General features: G+C 44.3%; 1 protein-coding gene and 1 long non-coding RNA gene across 2 annotated transcripts in view, besides 6 other annotated features; one reads left to right on the top strand and one right to left on the bottom strand.

The window, feature by feature from the left end:
* Nucleotides 1-12,169, bottom strand: part of ARIH1 (ariadne RBR E3 ubiquitin protein ligase 1) — a 128,658-nt gene extending 116,489 nt beyond the window's left edge. The window contains exon 1 of the mRNA NM_005744.5: nt 11,485-12,169. Within this exon, the coding sequence (NP_005735.2) occupies nt 11,485-11,859 (375 nt within the window). The 5' untranslated portion in view covers nt 11,860-12,169. The remainder of the gene's footprint in view (nt 1-11,484) is intronic.
* Nucleotides 11,046-11,255: an enhancer, noted in NCBI's record as "active region_9724". NCBI's record gives its function as "activates an Ori minimal core promoter by ATAC-STARR-seq in GM12878 lymphoblastoid cells {active_cell/tissue: GM12878}" and the evidence as "EXISTENCE:reporter gene assay evidence [ECO:0000049][PMID:35858748]".
* Nucleotides 11,806-12,035: a silencer, noted in NCBI's record as "silent region_6624". NCBI's record gives its function as "represses an Ori minimal core promoter by ATAC-STARR-seq in GM12878 lymphoblastoid cells {active_cell/tissue: GM12878}" and the evidence as "EXISTENCE:reporter gene assay evidence [ECO:0000049][PMID:35858748]".
* Nucleotides 12,078-12,274: a silencer, noted in NCBI's record as "fragment chr15:72766566-72766762 (GRCh37/hg19 assembly coordinates)". NCBI's record gives its function as "represses an EF-1alpha promoter that drives an FKBP-Casp9 reporter gene in an ReSE screen in K562 erythroleukemia cells {active_cell/tissue: K562}" and the evidence as "EXISTENCE:reporter gene assay evidence [ECO:0000049][PMID:32094911]".
* Nucleotides 12,078-12,465: a biological region, named in NCBI's record as "ReSE screen-validated silencer GRCh37_chr15:72766566-72766762".
* Nucleotides 12,126-12,465: a silencer, noted in NCBI's record as "silent region_6623". NCBI's record gives its function as "represses an Ori minimal core promoter by ATAC-STARR-seq in GM12878 lymphoblastoid cells {active_cell/tissue: GM12878}" and the evidence as "EXISTENCE:reporter gene assay evidence [ECO:0000049][PMID:35858748]".
* TMEM202-AS1 (TMEM202 antisense RNA 1) overlaps nt 12,260-14,163 on the top strand; it is a 66,461-nt gene continuing 64,557 nt past the window's right edge. Inside the window, exon 1 of the long non-coding RNA NR_135678.1 lies at nt 12,260-12,624. This is a non-coding gene — a long non-coding RNA (TMEM202 antisense RNA 1). The remainder of the gene's footprint in view (nt 12,625-14,163) is intronic.
* Nucleotides 12,706-12,805: an enhancer, noted in NCBI's record as "active region_9723". NCBI's record gives its function as "activates an Ori minimal core promoter by ATAC-STARR-seq in GM12878 lymphoblastoid cells {active_cell/tissue: GM12878}" and the evidence as "EXISTENCE:reporter gene assay evidence [ECO:0000049][PMID:35858748]".

Here is a 14,163-nt window from a genome sequence, read left to right as displayed (position 1 = left end):
AGGGAACATGTCCCAAGACCCTCAGTGGAAGCTTGAAAGTGTAGGTAATACCGAACTTATACATGCTATGTTTTTTCAATCTGGTAACAGTGAAGTGACCAGCCGAGGCCAGTAGCAGGTAGGTAGTCTATATACTGCTATATACTGGATAAAGGGATGATTCACGTCCTGGGTGGGATGGTGAGAGATTTCATCACACTACTCAGAATGGTGTACAATTTAAAACTTACAAATTGTTTTTTTCTGAAATTTTCTATTTAATATTTTCAGACTGCTGCACACCTCAGGTAACTGAAACCTTGGAAACTGAAACTGTAGATAAGGGGAAACCATTGTATGGTCAAGCCAGATGACCTCCTATCACTAGGTGAATGACAATTTAGGGAAAAAAAAATTAAAAATTTAGAAAGAAACTTAAATCATAAGTGATTATAGAAATCTACTGACTTTATAAAAGTGGCTTGACAGCTTTTTAAAAAAATATACATGAGGCTTTTTAAAACACTGAAAATAATGCAAGGACCACCACTACTATCTCCATGGGCCCCAAAGGATCCAGTCACTCCAGGTTAGAAACAGCCTGATTACTATCTCATCCAATAATGTCAACCTAAATAAATTCTCATTCTTCTATTTATCCCATCATTTAATGAAAATAATTAAGCTATTTATACAAAGTTACATAGTAATATAGTGTCAAGATCAAACGATGAGTTGTGTATATACAGTCAATAATTTAGCAAAGTTATGGCCTATGATACTATGCCTATTATAAGAAAGACAGCAATTACCTAGAAGGCAGGAATGACTGAGGAAAGGGGGGTTGATTAACCTCAGGAAGAAAAATTTTTCCTTCAGGATTCCAAAATGATAGTTATATAAAAAACAAAACCATTCAGGGTGCTACAGGTACTAAGAACAATGAGTGAAAGCTAATACGGAAGTAGATTTTCTTTCCATTAAAAAAAAAAATCAATAGGCAAACACTGTATTGAGATGCATCACAAAAATAGCTCACTGTTATTTATTTGTAGTTAAGCAGAGACGGCAGTGTTTTAGAAAGATTTCTTACAAAAGCAGGAGCTCTCGATCCTGGATGTGCATTAAAATAATCCAGGAAAGATTCTTGTTTAACGGCAATGCCTGGTCCAAACCCCCCAGAGACCCACTTACTTGGTATGGGGTAGGGCCTGCCTGCCTGTATTTTTTAAAATCCCCAGGTAAGAAAATCTGAGTAAGATCACATCAATGTCATTACCCTCATGGTGATACTGTGCAAGATGTTTTGCAAGATACTGTTTTTATAAGATGTTACCACTGTAGAAAAAATCGGTAGAGTACGTGGGATTCAATGCTATACAACTTCAGTCACGCCAAGAATGGCTATAATCAAAAAATTAAAAAATAATAGATGTTGTCATGGATGTGGTGAGAAGGGAACACTTCTACGCTGCTGGTGGGAATGTAAACTAGTACAACCACTATAGAAAACAGTGTGGAGATTCCTTAAAGAACTAAAAGTAGAACTACTATTTGATTCAGCAATCACACTACTGGGTATCCACCCAGAGGAAAAGTCATTATACGAAAAAGATACTTGCACACGCCATTTGTAGCAGTACAATTCGCAACTGCAAAAATGGGGAACCAGCCCAAATGCCCATCAATCAACAAGTGGATAAAGAAACTGTGGTGTGTGTGTGTGTGTGTATATATATGTATATATATACACATATATATGTATGCACACATATATATATACATATATACACACACATACATATACGTATATACGTATACACACGCATACATATACGTATATATATGTATACACACACATATATATATACACATATATATATATATATGATGGAATACTACTCAGCCATAAAAGGGAATGAGTTAATGGCATTTGCATCAACCTGGATGGGATTGGAGACTTATTATTCTAAGAGAAGTAAATCAAGAACAGAAAACCAAACATTATATGTTCTCACTCATAAGTGGGAGCTAAGCTATCAGCATGCAAAAGCCTAAGATTGATATAATGAACTCTGGGGACTCGGGGGAAAAAGGTGAGAAGGGGGTGAGAGATAAAACACTACAAACTGGGTTCAGTGTATATTGCTCAGATGATGGGTGCACCAAAATCTCACAAATCACCACTAAAGAATTTACTTATGTAACCAAATACCACCTCTTCCCCAATAACCTAGGGAAATAAAATTTTTTGGAAAAAAGAATATGTGGGATTTTTGCATTATTTCTTGTAACTGCATGTGAATCTACAATTTTCTTTTCTTTTCTTCTTTTTTTTTTTTTTTTTTGATGGAGTTTCACTCTTGTTGCCCAGGCTGGAGTGCAATGGCATAATCTTGGCTCACTGCAACCTCTGTCTCCTGGGTTCAAGTGATTCTCCTGCCTCAGCCTCCCGAGTAGCTGGGATTACAGGCGCCCACCACCATGCCCGGCTAATTTTTGTATTTTTTTAGTAGAGACGGGGTTTCGCCATTTGGCCAGGCTGGTCTCGAACTCCTGACTTCAGGTGATCCGCCTGCCTCGGCCTCCCAAAGTGCTGGGATTACAGGCGTGAGCCACCATGCCCGGCTGTGAATCTACAATTTTCTATTTTAAAAACAGTAATGAAAAAAATCCCCAGGTGATTCCATTACGTAGCTAGAGTTAAAAAAAAAAAAAATCAGTAAACTGGAGAATCTCAAATTCCTACCAATTCTGAGACTACAAGCTATTTTAAACTTAAGCCACTGAAAGGTTATTAGGAATGTTTATCATTTACAGGTATAATGTTTTGCAAAGCCAAAAGTAATTAATTTACGGTTAATCCAAAATAAAAAATCCAAAACACTATGTTCTCCCAATAGCATACAAAAAGATTGGATAGAAAGGCATTATACAATAGCTGTAATTTACCTCTTAACAGAGAGAGACAGAGACAAACAGCCGGCCTCTAAGATAGCCCCCAAAGACCCCTGCCTCCTGGTCTTCACATCTTTGTATAATCCCCTCCGATTGAGTATGGGCTGGATTTGGTTATTCACTTACAACAAATAGAATATTGCAAAGTGATGCGACGTTACTTCTGAAATTAAGTTATAAAAACTTTGTGGCTTCCATCGTATGGGCCTTTTCTCTAAGATCCCTCACTCTGGAGGAAACAAGCTACTGTGTTGTCAGCCACTTTATGGAGAGGCCCACATGGCAAGGAACTGATATCTCTGGGCAACAACCAGCCAGTGAAAATCTGGCCTGGTCACAGCCAAATGAGTGAGCTCGGAAGGGGAAGCTTCCCCAGTCAAGCCTTGAGGACTGCTACCCAGGCCAGACACGGTGGCTCATGCCTGTAATCCCAGCACTTTAGGAGGCTAAGGCGGGCAGATCCCTTGAATTAAGGTGTTCAAGAGCAGCCTAGGCAACATGGCAAAACAAAAAAATACTGGTCTCTACCAAAAAACCCACAAAAACAAAAAAATAAGCTGGGGTGTGGTGGTGCACATCTATAGTCCCAACTACTCAGGAGGCTGAGGTAAGAGGATCACTTGGACTCAAGAGGTGAGGGTTGCAATGAGCCGAGATTATGCCATTGCACTCCAGCCTGGGCACCACAGCAAGCCTCTGTCTTTAAAAAAAAAAAAAAAAAAGAGAGAGAGAGAACTGCTACCAAGCCGTCACCTTGGTTGCAGCCTTGTAAGAGACCATAAGCCAGAGGCCCCCAGGTAAGCTGCATCCAGAATTGTGACTCACAGAAACTATGATATAACAGATCCTTGTTTTTTTAAGCCACTAAGTTTTGGGGTAACATAAGGCAAAAGATAACCAATCTACATAGTTACCACAGGTCAACCCCAAAAGAATCTAATGTGATGACTTCTGCTTACCTTTCATCACAGTATTTAATCTCCCAGGTTCTACATTATTATCCAGCATTTATAAGCTCCATTCTACTTTAGCTGATTTCACCATTACCCAAAAACTCTCCTCATTCTCACCTCATTCAGTTCCTTAGAATGACTTCCTCTTTTTTATCCACCCAAATCCTAGCCATCTTTGACAACACCTACAGAGGTCTCTTCCATGAGTATCTATTACTATCCACTTATTTAAATTACTCACTAACCTAACAGCTTTAACTCTAAGAGATTCTCAACTCCTTAAGAATAAGTCTTCTCATATTCCTTTAAACAGGACTTTATATCTATCCAGGACTTTATATCTCTTCCAGCATACTAATAAATTAGAAAACTCAACATTCTATATTAAAAAAATCTAGGACTGGAAGGGAAATCAAGAACTCCAATCTAGAATGTCAGATGTCACTAGTTTAGTTTGTCTATTTGAAAATACTGGCCGGGTGCAGTGGCTCATGCCTGTAATCCCAGCACTTTGGGAGGCCAAGTCGGGTGGATCACCTGAGGTCAGGAGTTCGAGATCAGCCTGGCCAACATGGTGAAACCCCGTCTCTACCAAAAATACAAAATTAGCCGGGCGTAGTGGTGGGCGCCTGTAATCCCAGCTACTCGGGAGGCTGAAGGAGGAGAATCGCTTGAACCCAGCAGGCGAAGGTTGCAGTGAGCCGAGATGGCGCCACTGCACCCCAGCCTGGGCAAGAGAGAAAAGACTCTGTCTCCAAAAAAGAAAAGAAAAGAAAAGAAAATACTGAGTAAAGACCACCTTAGCTGAAGGATAGCATAGCATGAAGGATAGCATCTACGATGACAAACATCTTCCAACCCTATGATTAGCCTAGTAAACGTTGCCTAGGTTCTGGAAATTTTCCCATTATTACCTTTTTTTTGAAGTAGAGTCTCCCTCTGTCACCCAGGCTAGAGTGCAGTGACACTATCTCAGCTCACTGCAACCTCCAATTCCCAGGTTCAAGCAATTCTCCTGCCTCAAGTCTCCCAAGTAGCTGGGATTACAGGCACAGGCCACCACGCCCAGCTAGTGTTTCACCATATTGGCCAGGCTGGTCTCAAACTCCTGACCTCAAGTGATCTGCCTGGCACAGTCCCCAAAGTGCTGGGATTACAGGTGTGAGCCACCGTGACTGGTCCCCTATTATTAGTTTCTTAAACAATTTATCTTCCCTCATTAACCCACCTCTGTAGTAATCTATCACTACACGTAACACATAGAGAAACACTGCTATTAAATTTCAACTACATCAGCAGTTCTCAAACTTTAGCTTGCATCACCATCACCTAGAAGGCTTGTTAAAACAGACAGCCAGACCCCATCCCCAGAGTTTGATTCATAGGACTACTGCCATAGCAATTCAACAAGTCAGTGTAATTTAAACTTACAGCTCAAGGAGATCAGCTGGGAAAATATAAAAGTCCAAAAGAAATAAATCTAAACTATATCAAACACTTTAATAACTTCAAAACACATGTGCCTGCACACATCATGCACAGGCTTGTACACCCTCTTCCTCCTCTCCCAATTAATGAACATAACCACAATATGCACACCTGAATTCAATTTCTTGGAAAAAATGAACATCTCCAATTAACTGAGGTTTTTAAAATGATGTTAAACGAATAAAACACTTAATGTAAAAAAGGACCAACCTAGTATTTCAACTCCCTCATTTTCAGTCCCAGATTAAAAACAAAACAAGGCCGGGCAAGGTGGCTCACTGTGATCCCAGAACTTTGGGAGGCCGAGGCGGGCAGATCACCTGAGGTCGGGAGTTTGAGACCAGCCTGACCAACATGGAGAAACCCCCATCTCTACTAAAAATACAAAATTAGCCAGGCGTGGTGGCATACGCCTGTAATCCTAGCTACTCAGGAGGCTGAGGCAGGAGAATCGCTTGAACCTGGGAGGCAGAGGTTGCAGTGAGCTGAGATCGCGTCATTGCACTCCAGCCTGGGCAACAAGAGAGAAACTCCATCTCAACAACAACAACAAAAAGTGTGGCTGGGCACCGTGGCTCATGCCTATAATCCCAACACTCTGGGAGGCCAAGGTAGGTCGATCATTTGAGGTCAGGAGTTCGAGACCAGCCTGGCCAACATGGTGAAACCTCATCTCTAATAAAATACAAAAAATAGCTGGGTGTGGTGGCGCGTGCCTGTAATCCCAGTTACTTGAGAGGCTGAAGCAGGAGAATCGCTTGAACCCTGGAAGTGGAGGTTGCAGTGAGCCAAGATCAGGCCACTGCACTCCAGCCTGGGTGACACAGTGAGACATGTATAAAAAAAAAAAAAAAAAATTTGAAGGTTCTGAGATATTAACTAGACAGAGTAAAAACCAGGGCTATAACTGACTCCCCAATCAGTAAACAATATGCTAGAATAGTACACTGTTGACCGGGCACGGTGGCTCATGCCTGTAATCCCAGCACTTTGGCAGGCCGAGGTGGGCGGATCACGAGGTCAGGAGATCCAGATCATCCTGGCTAACATGGTGAAACCCCATCTCTACTAAAAAATACAAAAAAATTAGCCAGGCATGGTAGCGGCTGCCTGTAGTCCCAGCTACTCGGGAGGCTGAGGCAGAAGAATGGCGTGAACCCAGGAGGCGGAGCTTGCGGTGAGCCGAGATCGCACCACCGCACTCCAGCCTGGGCAACAAAGCGAGACTCCGTCTCAAACGAAAAAAAAAAAAAGAATAGTACACTGTCTTCCTTAGTTTAGGCTTGCAACCTCAACTTGAGGTTCTTTAATTAAATCTCTTAATTAAATAAGTGAAATACAGCTTTCGAACCAACAGCCAACAGAAAATTTCTTCAGTAAGGCTTAGATATTTTTTTCTTTAAAATGAGTTATTTGGCTGGGCACGGTGGCTCACGCCTGTAATCCCAGCACTTTGGGAGGCCAAGGCAGGCGGATCACGAGGTCAAGAGGTTGAGACCATCTGACCAACATGGTGAAACCCAGTCTCTACTAAAAATACAAAAATTAGTTGGGTGTGGTGGCGCGCACCTGTAGTCCCAGCTTCTCAGGAGGCTGAGGCAGGAGAATCGCTTGAACCCAGGAGGCAGAGGTTGCACTGAGCCAAGATCACGCCACCACTGCTCTCCAGCCTGGCAACAGAGCAAGACTCCGTCTCCAAAAAAAAAAAAAGTTATTTAGCATAACAGATCTTATAAAAGCAAGATACCTATCCACTGTTTTTTATACCTCCTCTGACCACTCACATTCAATAGTCCCAGGTCCATATTCCTCTCGGCACACACTCTAAATATGGTACAGGTTGAGTATTCCTTATCCAAAATACTTGAGACCAGAAGTTTTTCAGATTTGGAATATTTAATTATACTTACAATCAACATCCCTAATCTGAAAATCCGAAATCCAAAATGCTGCAGTGAGCATTTCCTTTGAGCATCACAACGGTGCTCAAAAAGTTTTGGATTTCCAGGCCTACCATTTTGAGAGGCTGAGGTTCAAGGAGCGCTTGAGGCCAGGAGTTTGAGACTGGCCTGGGCAACAGAGCAAGACCCTGTGTCTCTACAAAAAAGAAAAAAAATTAGCTAGGAGTGGTGCCACACACCTATAGTCCTAGCTACTCAGGAGGCTGAGGCGGGAGAATCACTTTAGCTCAGGAAGTTGAGGTTGCAGTGAGCTATGATCTTGCCATTGCACTTCAGTCTGGGCAACAACACAAAGTGATTTCAGAGCATTTCTGATTTTTTGATTAGGTATACCCAATCTGTGCCCCTAAGAGCTGCTGCTCTTCTCACTCTACTCACCCTGCCTGAGTCAAAATCGTGACAGTGGATTAACTATCACTATTCCAGTGGTTTGGTTATCACTAGAAGGCTAAAATACAGAGATGCTAAGGTTTCACCTCAGACTTCATTAATGAGTAAGAATCTCTGGAAGTGGAGTTCAAGGACCTCCATATTCCCTATCCCTATATGCTCCTTAGGCAAGGAGCATATCCTCTGCTTAACATAATGCCTGGCATACTTAGAAAGCACAATCAACATTTGCTGAACACTGTTGTGGAAAAACAAAATGGCAAGTTTAAATACTCCCAACTGCAGAATTGAACAGGGTTCTTTTAATAAATTACCTAGCTACTTATATAGTTACATTAGAAAACTACTTTTTAGGCTGGGCGCGGTGGCTCAAGACTGTAATCCCAGCACTTTGGGAGGCCCAGCTGTGTGGATCACCTGGGTTCAGGAGTTCAAGACCAGCCTGGCCAACATGGTGAAACCCCCTCTCTACTAAAAAATACAAAAAGTAGCTGGGTGTGGTGGTGCACACCTGTAATCCCAGCTACTCGGGAGGCTCAGGCAGGAGAATTGCTTGAACCCAAGAGGCGGAGGTTGCAGTGAGCTGAGATCACGCCACTGCACTCCAACCTGGGCAGCAGAATGAAACTCTGTCTCAAAATAAACAAATAACAAAAAACACCCTGGCCAGGCATGGTGGCTCACACCTGTAATCCCAGCACTTTGGGAGGCCGAGAAGGGCAGATCACTTGAGGCCAGGAGTTCAGTACCAGCATGATGAACATGGGGAAACCCTGTAACACAAGAATTAGCTGGGCCTGGTGGCAGGTGCCTGTAATCCCAGATACTGGGGTAGGGGGGGAAGCTGAGGCAAGGGGAATCTCTTGAACCTGGGAGGGAGAGGTTGCAGTAAGCTGAGATCACGCGACTGCACTACAGCCTGGGTGACAGAGTGAGGCTGTCTCCAAACAAAACAAAATAAAAAACTCTGATTTTTTTTTTCCTTAAAAGCTGAAAAGGTAAGCTAGGTAGCCACAAAGCATTTAAACAAAAGACCAAATTAAATAAAGTTTAATTGTTTAATTTGGTCTTTTATTTAAATGTTAATTGGGAAATTATAGAAAGCCAGAAAACCAAGTTTTCTGAAAGAAAATAATGTTGACTTATTTGAAGACCAAACCTAACCTGCAAATATCCACAAATAACAGTATTTATGTTGTTGCCCAGAACTCCTCTCCCAGAAAAAGTAATCAAATTCCCAAGGAAATATTAAATTAATTTGGTTATCTTTTTACATTTCAAACTTTTTCACCTGCAAATGTATCTTACCTGATTTCACACTGAAAATTAGAACTGAGAACAGGGAATTTAAATGTTTAAGAGTTAACAGTAAGCTCTCTAATGCAAACTAAGTAAAATTCAGTGTTTATCAAACCAACATTAAAAACCTAGATAACTGCTATTTCCAACCTCTATTAATAGAAAGAAGTCTTACAAACCAGTAAGAGATAAATATCCCAAAGAGGGGCAATGGGCAAAAGAGAATAAAATGAGCAAAAAGCGAGGGGCAATTTAAAAAAGAAATACCAAGCCCAATAAACATAAATTCAATCTCACCAGGTTTTTTTTGCCCATCAAACACTGGTTGGGAAAACTAGCATAACTTTTCTGAAAGCAATGTGGTAGTATGTATCAAATGCATTGAAAATGAGCAAATTCTTTTGACTCAGCAATTCACTTTATCCCAAGAAAATAAGAACACTCAAAGACTGACCTATGAGGATATTTTCAATATTTATAAAAGCCAGAAACTAGAAAATAAAAAGGAAGGCAAATAACAGATTGATTAAATAAATTAGTTCAGATCTATAATCATATAAGTTCTCGAAAAATTTACTTGACAGAAGGTTGTTCAGAGTATTTCTGTAATGTTTTTCCACTGAAAACACAAACAGAACATACAGTATGGTTCCACTGTTATTAACGTGGAACCATATTAATGGCTATCCAAAGGTCTAGAAAAATAACTACAGTTCGCATTTTGTTGTACGTCTCTGGGTGGCAGGCTTGTTTTGTCTTTTTATTTTTTCTTACCTAATCAGATTTTTCTTACATGTGCATCTTCTACAGGCCGGGCACGGTGGCTGACGCCTGTAATCCAGCGCTTTGGGAGGCCGAGGCAGGCGGATCACAAGGTCAGGAGTTCGAAACCAGCCTGGCCAGCATGGTGAAACCCGTCTCTACTAAAAATACAAAAAATTAGCTGAGCATGGTGGAGCGCGCCTGTAGTACCAGCTACTTGGGAGGCCGAGGCAGGAGAATTGCATGAACCCGGCAGGCGGAGGTTGCAGTGAGCAGAGATTGCGCCATTGCACTCCAGCCTGGGCGACAAAGCAAGACTCCGTCTCAAACAAACAAAAAATTATCTTCTACAATCCTCAACTTCCTTCTTAGACTGTGTTCTCTAGATTAAAAATGAAGACTTCCACTATTTAGTAATGGCACTAGATATCAGAGATTTTTCTATTATGCAAAACACTGTATTGAAACAGTGCCTGAATAGATGCTTCAATTTTTAAAACTGTTACTTATAATACTATAAAAATCAGTTAATAATAGAAAGTCAACGAGTTGACAGTGACATACTTCTAATTTGTCAATGAATATTTAGCCAACCAATTTAAGTTAAACAAAAAAGAAATAATACTGATAAAAGAGGCAATAGTAACTTGCTGCTCATATATGTTTCCTTCCAGGTTTTCTAAAAATTGCACTGAATCAAGCTTCATTTTTATTCTTCAGCCATATCCCTGACTCCTCAGGAGAACTGAGGTTTTTTTTTTCCCCAAATGAAAACTTTTGAGTTTCTAAAGCTCAAAAATGCAAAATCTGACGCACATGGTTAAATGAGATGTGGTTATCAACTTACACCAAGCCTAACTTACCACAAAATAGAAAATATCAGAGAAAGGAGTTCACAAGCAGAAAACCTCTGCTTTCTAACTCACAATAGAGTCTTGTCCAATATTAGACAACACTGCGTTTTGTTGTTGTTTTAGCTACAAGGAAGGGTATGCAATATGCAGTAACTATTCCAACAGCTTCAAGCAAGTCATCTGCTACGACTAGAAAAAGTAGCAATTAGGTCCCAAACAGCAAAGACATAAAAAAGATGTAAGCAGAAGCCTCACCATCTGAAAAGAAGGCCCATCAGCACCTCTTCCGAGAAATACTTCCCTTCCCCCACCTTTAAGTAGGCACTTGAGACTGCCAAGATCCATTTCTTTATTAACTGGTGCCCACTTGGGGCAACTGTACACCAAGCTGCTCTTAGGCCTACTCTAATCCCTTCCAAAAGTGCTCAAATGAGGCTACGGCCGGGGTAAGTCCCGTCAGGGCCCAATTCTTCCTGACTCCTCTTCTCCACCCCACCTCCTCCGCCCCGCCCCAGTAGGCGATCGCCCGGCCAGAGAAAGGACACCCGGCCCAGGGACTGGCAGAAATTGCCCGCAAGAGAAGGCTTAGGCGACCGAAGGCCTCCGCCATAGCAGGACTTGGGAAGCACCGCCCCCAGCGCACCTCCCCACACCCGGCTAATCGGCGAACCTCTGCTTTCGACACCCTCTATCCCCAGCAGAGGCAGCGGAGAAGACAAGGCCGGGAGGCACCGGGCTAGGCTGCGCACCAGGCCCAGGCCTGTCCCTCGGGACCGCGCGTGCCGCCTGAATCCGCTCCCCCGTCGGGCCCGGTCCAGCTGGCGCGGCGGCCACCCTCACCTGGATGACCTCGTTGACCTCCCGGATACATTCCACCATGTGTTGTAGAATCTGCTCGGCCGTGAGCACCTCGTAGCGGTAATCCTCCTCCTGCTCATGCCCCGGCCCGCCACCACCACCGCCGCCGCCGCCGCCGCCGCCACCGCCGGGCCCCAGAGCGCTGCCGCCGCCACCGCCCGTCTCCCCGCACAGCAGTCCGTCCCGCTCCCCGCCGACGCCCAGCCCGGGCTCCACCAGCTCCACCTCGCCCAGATCCAGGGTATCATCGTCCGGCTCGTCGTCGTCTTCGTCCTCCTCCTCCTCGGCGCCGCTGTCCTCCTCACTGCACTCCTCGTCCTCGTCGAACTCGTAGTTGTAGCCCTCGTCCGAGTCCATGGCGCGACGCGCGGGGGCCCGGCGGACGCTGGCCGAGGCGGGGAGAGGGCGGGGACGCCGAGGCCCCGGCTCTCGCTCCGGCTCCGGCTGATGTCCGGACGCAGGCCTGGCTCCGGCCCCGCGAGCCGCGGCTCCTCCCCAGGAGCGGCGGTTGGCGTTTGACGGCTGGTGGCGGCGGGGAGGGCGCGGAGGAGGGAGGGAGGGAGCGAGGGGGCCGCTTGCTGCCCGCCTCAGTCAGACGCGGCTCCGCTCCGGCCTCCGAGAGAAAACAGTCCCCAACGCCACCTCCACGGCCGCTGCTATCGCTACTGAGCCAACAAAGGGGCGTGCGTCACCGCGTCGCGCTGCGTCGTCGCGTCACTCCTCTTTGCGTCACTGCGCCCCGCCCCACCGCCCCTGCGTGGAGCCCGGGGAGACCCCACGGCCCGGCCTTCCTGGGCCTGGGACCCGAGGGGAGCCGAGCGGGAATTGCTTTCCTGGTTCGATCCGCTGCCGCTGTGAGGGCCGAGCGGAAACCCGTAGACCTTTTATGTGAAGAGATTGCGGCCTCCTGGTCACCAGTCACCGAGAGAGGGACCCCTGGACCGCCTACGTGGTGGTGTCTGCCGCAGGCCATAGGGATCCAGCCCACTTAGGCAGTCCCTTGGGGACGCGGCCTTCCCTCCGGAGCGGAAAGGCGCTTCCCGCCCGCCCTGCGGTAATCCCGGAAGCCCTCAGCCGTTAAGCTAAAATTTCTGTTGCTTTGGCTACTGATGGAAACCTGTTGTAAGTGGAACCTCTAAACTGTATGACAGGTGAACCCACTTTAGGTAGCTGTGTGATTCTGTCCACTTGTACAGACGTGCAGTGGTTTTTAAGTCTCCTATAATGACGTCATTTTAAAGAGGCATTTCCTCCACCCCGCTGACAAGAGCGCCTCTTGAGGGCCCTAAACAATGTAAACAGCGATGATTTTCATGAATTGAGCACTGTGTAAGGGCTTTACATATATTCTGTCTCATCTTCACGGAGCCATAGTACCCATTTTATACCTGAGGAACCTGAAGCTCAGAAAGGAAAAGGGACCTGGCCAAGACCACATAACCCTTGCCCTATTTTAACCGCTGGATGCCCCAAAACATGAATCATAAAAATGCTTTGTAATGTAGATATATTATGTACTATGTAGTACATAAAAGACATGAATGCTTCAACAAAATACAGGCAATAATAGAAATATCTACAAGGGCCAAATGTAGCCAGAGAGATAATGCTTGAATCTCATCTGAAAGTGTGCTATGTGAGCTGAGTGTTGATGAATGGCTAGGAGTTCAACAGAGAAGGTAGGGAAGATGGTCTAGCCGCAGAGAACAAGCAAAAGCGCAGAAGGTGTCAAGTAAGTAATAGTTTGGGGAGCTTAAAGTGCATGGAGGGTACATGGCAAAATATTAGGCAAGTTAGTCAGGGGTCATGTCAGTTAAGAGCATTTTATGCCTAAGAGTGGGCTTAAATCTTTGCAAACAGGACATGCGAGCCAGAGAAGTGTTATGAAGGAAGAAGAGGCATAAGAAGGCTCCCTCTTGAGATAATCTGAAGAATTGGCCAGATTGAAAACCTTTTAAAATCAAAACCCCTGATTTGTTGATAAATCTTACTGTTCAACCTATAGGTTCCCTTTGGAAATTGATTTTGAAAAGTGAAAAATTCCATTATAATGTTAAAAAGCCTCTTCCAATTTGTCCATTTTGTAAGTTTTAAAATACCGATAATTATATTTCTTAACCTCAGGATTTACAAAGTAAAGCATTTAACCTCAATACTGGTAGTCTAGGTTTTTGTTGTTGTTGTTGTTGTTTGTTTTTTTCTTGAGACGGAGTCTCGCTCTGTTGCCCAGATTGGAGTACAGTGGTGATCTCAGCTCACTGCAGCCTCTGCCTCCCAGGTTCAAGCGATTCTCCTGTCTCAGCCTCCTGAGTAGCTGGGACTACAGGCGCATGCCACCACCCCAGGCTAATTTTTGTATTTTTAGTAGAGATGGGGTTTCACCATATTGGCCAGGCTGGTCTCGAATTCCTGACTTCAGGTGATCCACCTGCCTCGGCCTCCCAAAGTGCTGTGATAACAGGCATAAGCCACAGCGCCCAGCCAGGTCTAGGTTCTTTGATTCAGTGTTTCTATTTAGCAATTCTAGATTGCTGCCACAACTAAGGCAAGCCATGGACACAAGGAACACTTCTGTCCACCCCGTCTCCATTGTGATATTACCTACAGAAAAATTCAGTAACACTCGTCAGTACCCTAAACTCCTTTGCCTCACCTTTCTTT

This window comes from Homo sapiens, chromosome 15 (assembly GCF_000001405.40).
Source record: "Homo sapiens chromosome 15, GRCh38.p14 Primary Assembly".
Lineage (NCBI taxonomy): Eukaryota > Metazoa > Chordata > Mammalia > Primates > Hominidae > Homo > Homo sapiens.
The sequence above is the reverse complement of the archived record's forward strand: the minus strand, read 5'-3'. Positions and strand labels throughout refer to the sequence as shown.